Source organism: Homo sapiens, chromosome 1, assembly GCF_000001405.40.
Source record: "Homo sapiens chromosome 1, GRCh38.p14 Primary Assembly".
NCBI classification, from domain to species: Eukaryota; Metazoa; Chordata; class Mammalia; order Primates; family Hominidae; genus Homo; species Homo sapiens.
This window is the reverse complement of record NC_000001.11, coordinates 197251517-197267563: the sequence shown is the minus strand read 5'-3', so window position 1 is coordinate 197267563 and position 16047 is coordinate 197251517. Positions and strand designations below refer to the sequence as shown.

Sequence of the window (16047 nt, the reverse complement as noted above, 5' to 3'; positions counted from 1 at the left end):
TGTTAGTGCTAGTACAGAGCCTTTTTCCATTGTTAAAACTGTTCACTGTTACACTTTAAAATGCAATTTCTATAGCTGATTTTTACAAAGCTTTATAAATCTGCCAGATATTTAACTATATAACATATATTTTGAAGTCTTTATATTTTCTGCCCATGTCTCTAATATTTTGACAGTCAGCTTAATGTTTTTTATCAATATTATTCTCTCACATACTCACAGATTTACTTGCTGAAGTAGGATTTATCCATTTAAAATTATTTAATTTTTATAGAATTCATGACAATTATTATTTTTAAAGATTTTTTCCTCCCCTCATGCAAATAATTTAACTTGGGCAATTTAACAATTAGAGTAAAAGAATTTCAGATTACAGAAGCATTATTAACTCCCTATTCTAATCCCTGTGTTTTGTCAATTGGAGAATTGAGAAGCAGAGCAATTATTCTGTGTGCCCAGAGTCATCTGGTGGGTCAGTGTCAACATTAGGACCAGAGTCTTCCCATGATTTCTAGAACATTAGTTCTTCACTAAATCTTGTGAAGTCTCTTTTCATCTTTATTCTTATGTTTTCTGTCATGCCTTTTGCAACGATACCATTCTGGGACATCTACATACTGAACCAACTTGATCTCCATTCGTTCTAAAAAGGCCTCCACCATGAACCCCAAGACTAAGGAATTTACAACATGGAAGGCCGATTGATAGACTGGAAAAAAAAATGAATAGACTCAGGTAAAGAATCTTATGGTATTAGAAAGCCTTCTGTTAGGGTGTCTTTAATTATGAGTGTCACAATCAAAGAAACAAAGAAAATTAGTTTTTCAAAAGACAAAAGTGTCGAAGAAAATAAGTGGTTGAGAGAACATGTTATACAAAGGATGGTTATAGGAATTATATACATGGGGTTTGAATATAAAAAAGTAAGTGGATATAGCCATTATACAAATGAGTCAATGGCTACCATGTGTCAGATTTGGGCTAGTCAGGAATTCCTTTAGAAAAACATATAATATTTACGTTGAATTTTCAAGCATAAGTATGGGTATGCTGCGGTCTGAATGTTTTCCCCCCTTCCCAAATTCACATGTTGAAACCTAATCCCCAATGTGATAGTATTAAGAGGTGGGGAGTTTTGAAAGGTGGTTAGACCTAACCCTCATGAATGGGATTACTGCCCTTATAAAAGAGGCCTGAGGGAGTTTATTTGCCCCTTGCACCACATGAGGACACATAGAAGGAACCTTCTATGAGGAACAGGCCCTTGGCAGCTACCAAATTTGCTGGTACCTTGATGTTCCTCTTCCCAGTCTCCAAAATTATAAGAAGTCAATTTCTCTTGTTATAAATTACCCAGTCTAAATTTTGTTATAGCAGTATGAAAAAACTAAAGGTATAACAAATAAATAGGGCAAGAGTGAAGTTTAAGAGTTTTACAGAAAAAGGATATGTATATAGGAATAGAGGCCTAAAGCAGTTGGGCAAATCAAGAAACTAGAAATATTCTGATATTGCAGAAACATAGGTGTGAAGAGATGTCAGGAAATAAGACTCAGCAAATCCACAAAATCAAGGAAGTTTGATTTTCAGTATGAGGAAAAGACACCATTAATAGGTTTTAAGTAGTGAATTCACATACTCAGAGTTGTGCTTAGAAAGATAAATCTAGCAGCAATGTAGCAATGTTTGGAAAAGGGCAGATGGAAAGCACAGAAACCAGTGAGAAGGATATTGCCGTTGTCCACAAGAGAGATGATAAGGGACTGAACTAAAGCAGAGACAGTGGGGATGATAAAATGAAACAAAACAGCAATAAACTAGATACATCTAAAGACATATAGAGATTAAGGCAACATGAAAACGAATTTTATCAGGTTTTGAGCTTCGGCATTTGGGCTATTATTGTCATTCATAAAAATGAAGAATATAGACAAGGGCACCTATACAAGAAACAGCAAAAACCATCCTTCCCAAGTCAAACACATTTAAATATATGTCTATATTTGAGCAAAGTGTAACTTTTATAGAAATATGTAAGTGAGCTCAACAGCAATAAAGTAAAATAACCAATTGAGGTAGACAATTCTTGACTTTTGGAATGGAAAGACAGAGAGAGAAAGAGGAGGAGGGAGGGAGGGAAGGAACAAATGAAAGATAAGAAAAGAAGGAAGGAAAAATGAAGGAAGGGAGGACAAAAGGAAGGAAGAAAGGACAAAAGGAAGGAAGAAAGGACAAAAGGAAGGAAGAAAGAAAGGAAAGAAAGAAGCAGGAGAGAGGAAGGAAGGGAAGAAAGAAGGAAATAAAGAAAAGAGTAGTTCAGAAACAGGGAAATCAATGAGAACTGAGATGAAACTAAACTCTCATGTGGAAATGCTACAATTCACAGTTCACAAATGGTTCCCATGGAAGCCAACCTCTACCGAAGATGAGCTCACAGCTTAAAACTATAAATCAAACTAGAAACCCACTGCCATGACAGACATTGGACACAATGAGTGGGAAAATTCACACTCAAAAGATTCATGATAATGGAGCTAACTTAAGAGATTATAAAATAACACTTTGTTAAGAAACAGAAAAAAAGAATCAAAGAAAATAACTGGTTGAGAAAATATGTTAAACAAAGAATGCACTGTTCTGGCCGGGCGTGGTGGCTCACGTCTGTAATCCCAGCACTCTGGGAGGCTGAGGCGGGTGGATCACATGAGGTCAGGAGTTTGAGACCATCCTGGCCAACATGGTGAAACCCTGTCTCTACTAAAAAAAAAACAAAAGTTAGCCGGGCATGGTGGCAGCCACCTGTAATCCTAGCTACTTGGGAGGCTGAGACACAAGAATCCCTTGAACCCAGGAGGCGGAGGTTGCAGTGAGCCGAGATCATGCCACTGCACTCCAGCCTGGGCGACAGAGCGACAGAGTGAGACTTTGTCTCAAAAAAAAAAAAAAAAAAGAAGAATGCACTGTTCTTATTCACTGTGTATGGGTAAATTGGTACAACCTTTACGGAAAACAATAAGGAAATTACTCAAAGAACTTAAAATAGAACTATCATTTGATCCAGTAATCCCATTACTGTGTAGCTACCCAAAAGAAAAGGAATCATTGTATGAAAAAGATACCTGTACTTTATATGTTTAATGCAGTACTATTCACAACAGCAAAGATATAGAACTAACCTAAATGTCCATCAATGGATGATTGGATAAAGAAAATACGGTATATATAACACAATGGAATTCAATTCAGCCATAAAAAATGAAATCATGTCTTTACAGCAACATGGATGGAACTGGAGGCTATTATCTGAAGGGAAACAACTCAGACACAGAAAAACAAATACCGCATGTTCTCACTTATAAATGGGAGCTAAATAATGTGTACACATAGATGCAGAGTGTGAAATGATAGATGATGGAGACTTGGAAGGTTGAGGGAGTTGGAGGAGGGATAGATGATGACAAGTTACTTAATGGGTATAATGTACATTGGTGATGGATACACTAAAAGCCTAAACTTCACTACTCTGCAATATGTCCATGTAACAAATTGCACTTGTGCCTTTTAAATACATACAAATAAAAAATTTTAAGAGATAAAAGAATGTATTTATTTTATAAAACAAGAACAAGACATGATAAAAATGATTAGGCCTATTCGAAAATAAACTGAACATAAATTCTAAAAATAAAAAAAGTCATTAAAATTTTTTCAAAAATTTAACTAATAAATAGTAGATGACACTACAATATACTAAACAGAAGATAGATCTGAAGTTTTTTTTAGAATAGATCAATGTGAGATAAGGAGTTGGTGAAAAAGAATGAACAATAAAGAGACACGGAAAATAGAAAGTTCTATCTCAGAAGCAAGGAAAAAAGTGGGAGAAGGTAAGTATCAAGAACTAATGGACTACAGTTTTCAGATATGAAAAAATATGATTTCTCCAATTTAGAAAAGCTCACTGAATCCCTAGGAAATATTACATTTAAAGTGCAACAAAATTGCAACAAAAACAAAAATTGACAATTGGGACCTAATTAAACCAAAGAGCTTCTGCACAGCAAAAGAAACTATCATCAGAGTGAACAATATACAGAATGGGAGAAAATTTTTGCAAACTATGCATCCAACAAAGGTCCTACATCCAGAATCTATAAGGAACTTAATCAGTTCAACAAGCAGAAAACAACTCCATTAAAAAGTGGGCAAAAGACATGAACAGACACTTCTCAAAAGAAGACATACAAGCAGCCAACAAACATGTAACAAAATGCTCAACATCACTGATCATCAGAGAAATGCAAATCAAAACTACAATGAGATGCCATCTCACACCAGTCAGAAAGAATATTTTTTTTTAAGTCAAAAAACAACAGATGCTGGTGAGGCTACAGATAAAGGGAACACTTACACACTGTTGATGGGAATGTAAATTAGTTCAGCCACTGTGAAAAGCAGTTTGAAGATTTCTCAAAGAACTTAAAACAGAAATACCATTTGATCTAGCAATCCCATTTCTGGGTATATACCCAAAGGAAAATAAATCATTCTACAAGAAATACACATGCAATCATATGTTCATTACAGCGCTATTCATAATAGCAAAGACGTGGAATCAACCTAGGGTCCCATCAACGATGGATTGGATAAAGTAAATGTGATACTTATACAAGATGGAATACTTTGTAGCCATAAACACAACAAAATCGCGTCCTTTGCAAGAACATAGATGCAGCTGCAGGCCATTATCCTAAGCAAAATGATGCAGGAAGAGAAAAATCAAATACTGCATGTTCTTACTTATAAGTGGGAGCTAAATATTGGGTACACATAGACATAAAGATGGGAACAATAGACACTGAGGACTATTGTTAAGAAGAAGGGGGTGAAGGGCTGAAAACTACCTATTGGGTGCTATGCTCACTACCTGGGCAATGAGATCATTCATACCTCAAACCTCAGTGTCACACAATATACCCATGTAACATATCTGCACATCTACCCCCGGTATCTAAAAGTTAAATTTTTTAAAAAAGAAAAATAAATACATACAGTGCAGTAAAAGAAGCAAAATAAAATCTTACAAAGTCAGCAGCATTTGTCGTTAAAGTCTAAAATGTTTACAGTAGAACAATAATCAAAATGATGAAAGACTTTTCAAGAATAAATTAGGTGCCATAAAACAAAGAAAATAGAAGAAAAGGAAGATTTATAGACAAAAATAGAAGGTACAGTTTTAAAATATATTCAATTTGAGCTGTCTATTCAAAACCAAGTGAAGATCCAGAACATAGTAGGTTCTGGAGATACAATTTCAGAAAGTAGGACAGCTGTTCTTACTGGTGGACACTATTGATGTCATATTAATGTACAAGCATTTGTTTGTTTTACACGTACTATACAAAAGGTATATTATATGTACACCTGCAATACATCAGATACTAGAGTCATCATCAGTAATTTGCAAGTTTAAGACAGGGTCATCACCCTTGTTGAATTAAACTCTGGTGAGCAGATGCAGTCTTCTGAGGAAAAAAGTACTTTTTCTCCCAGTTCCCTGATATTCAAAATTGATTTAATAAGAGTACAAAGATTTATCTTCAGCTCAATACCAACTCTATATTATAGATTATTTTATGCACATTATCTCAGTTAATACAGCATCTCCACAAAGTAGATTAAATTAACCCTATTTGACAATGGCAAAAAAGAGATTGAGAGACCCAAGTTACCTGTATAATAAGTGCTGCTGTTCAGATTCACACCCAACTTGCTTATTCCAATGCTCTTAATTATTGTTATAATGGTATTTATTGTTAATTACATAATTATAAATGTATTATTGTGAAAAATCCCAAATATTAGGATAAATATAAAGAATCTTTGATGAACAACAATCCCACACTCCTCTCCAGAAGTAATCATTGTTATTTGTTAATGAATATCGTTTTATACCACTCTATGCTACAGTTTGATAAATACATAAATGATTGATAGATGATGGATAGATGAATAGAGACATAAATATTATTTTGCTTCTTTTTTTAAATAACAGTATGATACTCTATGTATTATTCTGCAACTTGCTTTTCTCACTCAACAGCGTGTCTTGAAGATTTTGGCATTTAACTCACATACTTTTTAATGCCACGCGGCATTTCATAGTATGCATGTACTATAGTTTAATGATTTCATTTTTCTGGGAATCAATGTTTCCAATTTACTTTATGCAAACAATGATTAATAAAAATCATTTTACACACCCGTTTGTTCAAATGCACAAGAGTTTCTCTAGGGTAAATGCTAAAATTTACCTTAGGCAAATACAGAAATTTTGAGGATAAATTTTGAAGCTGGCTATTGGGTATGTAAAGGTATATCATATCATTTATTCTGTGTTTGTATAGATTTTTAAAAATTAATTACAAAAAACTTGAAATTTTAAATTTGTGTATTTTTCATATTTAGAAAAATTGAGCCTCTTTTAGCATTTGCATTTACTCCTCAATGATTTGCCAACTCATATCATATTCACTTTTCAATTAACTCTTTAAAAATTTTTATTTAGAGGCCGGGCGCGGTGGCTCACGCCTGTAATCCCAGCACTTTGGGAGGCCAAGGCGGGTGGATCACGAGGTCAGGAGTTCGAGACCAGCCTGGCCAATATGGTGAAACCCTATCTCTACTAAAAATACAAAAATTAGTTGGGCGTGGTCATGCACACCTGTCGTCCCAGCTACTTGGGAGGCTGAGGCAGAAGCATCTCTTGAACCTGGGAGGCGGAGGTTGCAGTGAGCCAGGATCTCCCTACCGCACTCTAGCCTGGGTGACAGAGCGAGATTCCGTCTCAAAAAAAAAAAAAAATTAGTTAGTTGTAGCATTTCCTTATAAAGATTTGATCTTAATTCTTAGTCTGCTATAAATGTTGAAAATGTTCCTTCTCAATAGGTTCATTTTCTCTTAAAGTTTATAGTTTTTCTTTATCTATTTGATTTTGAAAAGTTTTTATGACTTTTGATTTTTGTGTTATTGAAGAATGCTTTTTTTTCTTATCAGGCTTACTAACACAGGGGTTCCCATTGGGTTTTATTCCAAATTTTATTTTAAAAAATTAAAATACATATATTAAAATTTCTTAAAATTTTGTGACTTTAACCCACATGGAATACATTTTTATGAATGATCTAACTTACAGTTTTAATTTTATTTCTAAATTATAGATTTAACTTTATTTCCAGATGGATAGCCAATGTCCAAACTACAAAATCATGTATGAAACCCGTATATAAAAAAAAATTTTGTTTAATTAAACCTTTGTGATTCTTTTGCCAATAAACTTAGTTGTTTTTCTCCTTCCTCTTCTTCCTCTTCCTCTTCTTCCTCTTCCTCTTCCTCTCTCTCTCTTTCTTTTTTTAGGGTCTCACTCTGTCACCCAGCCTGGAGTGCAGGCAGTAGCGCAATCTCAGTTTGTGGCCACAGCAGCCTGAACTCAAGTGATCCTCCCAACCTCAGCTTCTGGAGTACCTGGGATTACAGCCAGGCTCCATCGTGTGCCTGGTTAATTTTTTTTTTTTTTTTTTAGACATGGGGCCTCACTATGTGCCTAGGCTGGTCTTTAACTTCTGGGCTCAGGCGATCCTCCCACCTTGGCCTCCCAAAGTGCTGGGATTGCAGGCATGAGCCACCATGCCCGGCCTGAAACTTTGTTTTAAGTTTTTGCCTTCCCTTGTACAGTTTATCTTCCAGATAGTTTTCTAAGCAGTTGGTCTATTTCCTTTCAACAACAACTATTCCAAGTATAATGGGGATTGCATTTATTATATAAGTTAATGAGGGGATAATTTATATCTTTTCAATACTTCTTTCTTTTTTTAACTTTAAGTTCAGGTATACAAGTGCACAAAGTGCAGGTTTGTTACACAGGTACACGTATGTCATGGTGGTTTGCTGCACCAATCAACCCATCACCTAGGTTTCAAGCCCCACATGTATTAGCTATTTGTCCTGATGTTCTCCCTCCCCTTGCCCCCACCCCACTGACAGGACTGGTGTATGTTGTTTCCCTCCATGTGTCCATGTGTTCTCATTGTTCAACTCCCACTTGTGAGTGAGAACATGCAGTGTTTGGTTTTCTGTTCCTGTGTTAGTTTGCTGAGGATGATTGCTTAAAGCTTTATCCATGTCCCTGCAAAGGACATGATCTCATTCCTTTTTATGCCTGCATAGTATCCCATGGTGTATATGTGCCACATTTTCTTTATCCAGTCTATCATTGATGGGCATTTGGATTGATTCCATGCCTTTGCTATTGTGAATAGCACTGCAATAAACATACGTATGCATGTATCTTTAAAACAGAATGATTTATATTCCATTGGGTATATACCCAGTAATGGGATTGCTGGGTCAAATGGTATTTCTGGTTCTAGATCCTTGAGGAATCATCACACTGTCTTCCACAATGGTTGAACTAACTTGCATTCCCACCAACAGTGTAAAAGCATTCCTATTTCTCCACAACCTCGCCAGCATCTGTTGTTTCTTGAAAAACTACTATTTGAAGTATAATGGGGATTACATTTATTGTAAAAGTTAATGACGGGATAATTGATACCTTTTCAATATTGCATTTTTCAGTATCTGAATAACCTTACAATATTTAACACATATTGAGTCATTCTTATAAACCAGATGCTCTCTAAAACGTTTCTATGCATTATTTATTTAATATCTACCATAACACTATGAAGCAGGTTCTATTTTTTCCATTTTATAGATGATAAAAATACAAAGATCCAGTGATTTATCTCAGTTAGCACAGCCAATAAGTCACTCTGGAAGAGAAGAGAATGTAGAGTAAGAAAAGGAGAGGGTCAGCAGCCACACTAATACTTAATAATTGGAGGATAAGAAGCCAGAGATTTAAGAGAAATAACCAGGACATTGTGGTGTCATGGAAGAGACGAAAGAGGGTCAGGAAAGAGAGTGATGAACAGTGGTAATGCTGCAGGAAAGTGAAGTCTGATAAGGACCAATTTGATTTGTCAGGAAGGGGATTTTTAGTGACCTTGGTGACAGAAATATCAATGGAACATTGGGACAAAATCCAAATGTCAGTTATTTTTATGAGTGAATTGAACATTAGCAAGTAGAGACAGTAAGTGCAAAGTACACTTTCCAAAAGATGGGTTGTGCAGAAAACATGGGATGGGGAGGCAACGTTTAAGAGGGATTTATGGCCAAGTATTTTTTTAACATGAAATACACGCAAAAAAAAGGAAGGAACCAGAAAAACTGAAGGTATGAAAAAGATAAAAATATTTGATGGAGCAAGCTTCCTGAGGAGTAGGTGAGAAAAATGGGATCCATTTGTGTTACAAAAAATCCAATTATACTATTTTAGTTATTTTAAAATGTACAATTAAATTGTTAGCAACTATAGTCACCCTATTGTGTTATCAAATACTAGTTCTTATTTATTCTTTCTAACTATTTAGAATAAAAGATAATATCAAGTATTTAAATAGAGAGAAGAAGAATCAGAGAAATGGAAAGGCAGCAAGAGTCACCTACCAGCTTTGATAACAGAGCAAAGGGTCCAGCTGAATTGATCCAGCTAAATTCATTTGTAATGATGCTAAAAAGCACAGTGGCATGACCCTTCCAGCAGCAAAAATGAGTGCTAGTACAGCAGCAGAGCTGGGAGGCTACAGGACTACTTCAAGAGTGAGAGCTTTCAGAGTGGAAGGATAAGTAATAGGTGGAGGGCTTATAAGCAATGCTTAGAGACAATGGGAACTAAGGCAACTAATGAGGACAGTTATGAACAGACATGGAAAAAATGAGGTTTCATTGGATTAGCGGTATTTATGTGGTAGAGAAACAGATGAAATGAGACTGGGGTTGAATTCAGACAGTGGGATACTGAAGTCTGTAAATATAAAAGAAAGAACTGATTAGGCTTGATCTAGGCTAAATTGGAACCAAGGTGGAGATTGCAAGAAAATAGACTTTTGTGTAGCCTAAGAAAACTATATAACAAATAGCTATTTAATAAAGTTCACCTCCACAAGTAGCTATTCAAGTAGATGAGGACCAATTGAGTGAGAGACTTGTGATGGTTAATTGTATGTGTCAACTTGACCTGGCTAAGAGATGCCCAGATAGCTTGTAAAACATTATTTCTGGGTGTGTAATGGGGGTGTTTCCAAAAGAGATTACCATTTGAATCAGTAGGCTGAGTAAAGAAGATCTGCCCTCTCCAAAGCGGGCGGGCATCATCCAATCCTTTGGGAACCCAAACAGAACAAAAAGGTGGAAGAAGGGCAATTTTCCTCTCTCTTCTTGATCTGGGACATTTCTCTTCTCCTTCCCTCAGACATTAGTTCTTAGGCCTTTGGACTCTGGGACTTACTCCGGCGGCACCCCCCAGTTTTCAGGCCTATGGACTTGGACCGAGAGTTACATCATTAGCTCCCCTGGTTCTCAGATCTTTGGACTCAGACTGAATTACACCACTTTGGCTTTTCTGGTTCTCCAGTTTGCAGATGGCATATCATGGGAGTGAACGTGAGCCAATTTCCCTAATAAATTACACACACACACACACACACACACACACACACACACACGCAAATCCTATAGGTTCTGTTTCTTTGTAGAATTCTAATATAGGACTAAATATATCTTTTTCCCTAAAGACTTCTAAGACACCCTCCAAGTTTTTTTTGTTTTTTTTTCTGAAATTTTCTTTTTTTTTATTATACTTTAAGTTTTAGGGTACATGTGCACATTGTGCAGGTTAGTTACATATGTATACATGTGCCATGCTTATACTATATTCTGTGAGCTAGAGAGAAGTAGAATAAAGGAGAAAAATCAATTTTCTGCTGTTCAGAGAAAGTAAAAAATTATGTAAAACATTTCCTCAAAAGATTTAGAATTTCATGCCACGTAGCTTTACTCCACTTGGAGCCCTTCTGCTCAGTGGGCATTTAAAAAAAGAAGGAATACAGATTTACACATATTAAATTTTAAGAAGTGTCTTAAACATATAAGTACATATATCAAATAAAGAGTTGTATATTTGAATCTGGAACTCATGAGAGAACTCTGAGTTACATATATAAATTGACATAATGAGGCACATTAAGCCATTTGGAGAGATAATAACACTTAGTGGGTAAGAGGAGTTATTTATAAAAAATAATAATAATAAAGGAAGCAACAAGGACTACTCCCTGTGGCTCACCTACCTCAGTAAATCTAAAAGAACAAGACCAAGAAAAAGCAGCCAGTGAGTAGAAGGAGAATCCAGAAAAGATGGTTTCCTAGAAGGCAAAATAAGTATTTCTCTAAGAACAGAGTGATTAACGAGTCATCTACTACTAAGTCAAAGAAGATGATGACTGAGGGCTGGTTGTTAGTTTGGTGACATGGAGGTCATTGATGACCTTGACAAGAGAAATTTCAATGTGTTCAAGAGAAAATGAAAGGAGAAATAAGTGCAGATTGAAAATGCAAGGGATATGTGTATATACATACATATATAATTCATATTGTAGTGTATATATATATATATATATATATATATATATAAAATGTTCTATATTATTATAGAACATTTGAATTTGAATGCTGTTGGGAATGGCCCAGTAGATAGGAAAAGTTGTGACACCTTTCTACTCTCCTCCTATCCTATAGAAAGTTAAGAAAGGGAGTTTGTTTCATAATCTATGTTTTTAGTACTTAATCCACATCAGTGCTAGATACTCATGAAGTATTAGACTGAATCACTCATTAAATTTGCTTTATTACCCCTAGATCCAACACTTCAGGTGTTGGTAATGGTTTTGTTTTGAAAATGGAGTATGTGTTAAGTATAGGTCTGTCACTTTTCTTTGCACATTTGAGCAATTGATTGACAGGCAGAAGCGTCCTTTTTTCTCCAAAACAGGCATTATGTGCCAGTAATCAAGATGCATTCAACTGTGGGCTCCTTCTTATAATTACTAATGCTCATTTCCAACTAGGATGTGAACAGTTGAAAGGTGCTGACTTGATAAATATTTTCCATGGCTAGATTCACATCAAATAATTTAGAGTTCTTGGACTGCAAGTAACAAATTACCTTAAGAAAATAAAGAATTTATTGGCAGGATACCCAGTGCAGCATAGAACAGATGAGAATTCAAGAGAATAGATATGAATAGAATGGAACTATGGTGGTGTGGAGTCAAGACAATAAGCATCACACATAATTTCATAAGGAAAATACCATTCAAATGAGTGAATTTTAATTTTTTCCTATTTTTCCATCAAAGTGTGGGAAGAGAGAGTCAGAGTAGCCTAACTAGGGTAGGGCAGTGCACCTTGATTTGCAGTACAGTGTTTTAAAACTACACTCAATGGAAAAGTATAACTCCCCAAAAGGAATTTAGCACACTGCTATCAAATGAAAGAGAAACGGATGCAGGCAACCAAAAGGAGGAAATGACCATGAGAGACCTCAGCCAAAAAGTTTAATTAAGAATCCATGACAGGCTTGAGTGTCCTTACCATGCTTTTAAATTTAACAACAACAAAATCCAGTGAGTGAAGTCACTGTACATGGTGGCACATGAAAAAAATTAGACCCTGTTGAAGATAAGATCCATCACAAAATCACTGACTTCATTAAAAATGTGCATATATGTGTTACTGAGGTTTGCAAACATTGAATTGATGTATACTTCTAGAATTATAGGAGAAACACAAATATTATAAATTCTAGAAGTCACATAAGATAAAGCAATTATTTGATTAGCTTACTGGCATATATAAACTTACTTTATTCAAAGCCTATAATTGCCTTCAGAAATTATTATATTTCATTTAAAGACAGATAAAGGTGTTCTTTAAAAAACTGATTTGGAGTTCTGGAAGCAGCCCTAGTTCTAGTTAATTTATGTTCCTAATCAGAAATTAAGACAGCTGAAGCTTTTTTGCTTCTCCTCATTCAATTATCACCACTACAGAGAAGTAGAAATAGCAACAGAGCCTGACATTCAGGTAAGAGAGACGATATGAAAAAAACATATTCTGTTCATGTCATAAATCACGGTGACACTACTAAGAAAAGAATATGAACAATTCTGAGTGGTTGTCATCAGTGACATCAACATTAATTTCAAAAACACTTTGTGGACTGAAACCTTTAGCTCCCTATAGTATTTTTTCTTGTATCTTGCTATAAATAATGATTGCATAGATTCTGTGTATCACTCAGGACAAGGAATGGCCAAAAAAGTACAAAGGGATTCATGTGCTGACTCTTTACTTTGGCGAACTTGGGTTGCTTTCCCAGGCAAATAATCACAAGGCACACAAGTCTGAAGAATCTCCAGGAAGCTTTCTATCAAATACAAGTGCGGTGGCTTTCTTCCCATGAACTACACTTATATCTATAAATAAATGTATCTAGCCTCTCCGTAAAGAAGGAGAAGAGATGTATGAATTAGGAGGATGAGGAGGCAGAGAATGAAGGCCCAGAGTTTGGATCAATAGCTGCCTGAAGCATTTTCACCATTAGCATCCCTAGGACATTTGCTCTGGGAATATTTATTTGCTGATGTGTTTATTACAAAAACAAACAAACAAACACAAACCTCTCAAAATATCAGATCTAGATTTTTTTTTCTCAGTTGGCTTACTTATAGGTGGTAATCGAAGCTATCAGCACAAAAGCTGTTATTTCCTTAAAACCTTGATAGTTTTTGGCAAATGAAACTATAAGCTTAAAAATTCAAACCCATTAAGAAAAAAATTCAAAACAAAGAAATTTTAGAGAAATTTTTCTTTATCAAATGATTCTTTGCTTTGCAAAAAGGTAAACCCATATATTATATTATGTACTTTCCAAAAATAATCTGTATTTTTTAAATCTTCCCTAAAAAGCAGATTTTTGGTAAAGTATGGCTGATGTAAACATTCATGTGTAATTTCTTTGTTGTAGCATTAAAAATCATTTGTGAAGCACAAAATACATACCAGGTTTGGGGAAAACAAATGTGAATTAATTCAATCTCTTACATCAAGAGTTTATATTAAAATTGGTATAAACAACCATGAACAAAGTGGATTATAACATAATGATACACTGTGTTAAAAAATGTTCAAAGTGCTATGAAACCATGAATGAAAAAGTGATTAATTCTTCCTAAAAGTTCAGAGACAACTTCATAAAATACGTGCCATTTTAAATAGACTTTTAAAGAATAAGTAAGAATAAGTATGCCAAGTAGCAAAGTGTGATAAAGAAATTCAAGGCCCAGGGGAAAAAAGAATGTACTTATCTGCGGAATCAGCAAATAATTGGGATTGCCTTGACTAAGGAATGCTGAGAGAGAAGTAACGAATGGTATGTCTGAAAGAGTAGACTATGCAGATTTTGTGAATGGAAATGTCATGCCATAAAGTTTAGAGAGTCAACAAACGATTGTAAAGAGGGGAGTTATGATGGTTAATTTCATGTGTCAATTGTACTAGACTAACAGATGTCCAGATAGCTGGTAAAGCATACTTTCTGGATGTGTCTGTGAAGGTGTTTCCAGAGGGATTAGCATTTGAATTGATAATCTGAGTAAAGAAGATCTGCCTTCACCAATGTGAATGAGCATCATCCAATCCATTGAGAACCCAAACAGAACAAGACAGATGTAAGGGCGAATTTGTTCTGTCTGTTTGGGCTGGGACATCCATATTCTCCTGCCCTCAGACATCGGAGCTCCTGGTTCTCTGGCCTTCGGACTTGAGCTGAATTACTGCACTGGCTTTCCTGTTTCTCCAGCTTGTAGTATGCAGTTCATAGGACTTCTCATTCTTCATAATCACATGAGCCAATTCCCATAATAAGTTTTATTTTATATATATGTGTGTGTGTGTGTGTAATATAAACACACATATATATATCACACACACACACACACACACACACACACACATATATATATATATATATATATATATATATATATATATATATATAAAATCTATTGGCTTTTTTCTGTAGAGCCCTGACTGATATAGGAATGATATAATCAGGTTAGTGATTTAAGTTTAAGAATGATAATTCTAGCTTAGTATGAGGGATAAAATGGAATCACTAGAATAATAGGGATTATAGCCATATAGGGCATGAAGGGGGAATAGAGAATGCACTGTGGTTTGCAAGACGAACTCTAAATAGCCACCTATTTCGAGACCTGAAAGCTAAGAATGGAATAGGTTTTTATGTTTTTAAATGGTTAAAAAAATCAAATAATATTCTATGACATGCAAAAATTATATAAAATTCAAGTTTCTGTGTCCATAAAGTTTTATTGGAGCACAGCTATGTTCATTTGTATACATATTATCTATGATTGCATTCATACTACAATTGAGTAGAGACCATAGGGCCCACAAAGCCTAAAATATTTACTACCTAGAACTTTACCAAAAAAGATTGCTGACCCCTAATTTAAGGTATGAACAAAACTGTGGATAGCTAGGTCTAATATGAGTTATAGTCAGAAAGGTCCTACTGCCATAAGTAAAAATCATAACCTAAAAATATTAATGGCTACAGATATTAACCTAGTTCAATTTCTGGTAACTAACAAAGATCCCAAATAAGGAAAAATATAACTACAAGAGAATATTGGACAAACTGACAATAAGCAGATAATCTCTCCTTCTTCTACTTAACACCACATTACCAAGTGAAATTATTTAAAACACACACATACACCCTCCACATGCACATGCATGTGTGCACAAACACATAAAAAAATTTGGAAAGCCCATATTGCACTGAAAACTTGAGAAGGAAACAAGCTCTATAGAAAAAAATTTAAGGAATTTCTGACAGATACAGTGTCATAAATAAAAGATTAAAGGAAGCCAGGGAGGATCAATATGCAATTCCCATTCTGGAGAAAGTGGTTTCATTTGCCATGACAAAAGTAGAAGAGATATTTTGAGGAATAGGGATTAAAAGCTCAAGCTTTGATGTCAGCCAGTCCTGAG

The 16047-nt window shown here is 35.1% G+C and overlaps 1 protein-coding gene across 2 annotated transcripts in view; it reads right to left on the bottom strand.

Annotated features, from left to right (window-relative positions):
- The window catches only part of CRB1 (crumbs cell polarity complex component 1), a 276952-nt gene that overhangs the window by 210892 nt on the left and 50013 nt on the right, over window positions 1–16047 (bottom strand). The gene's annotated exons all lie outside the window — the stretch shown is intronic.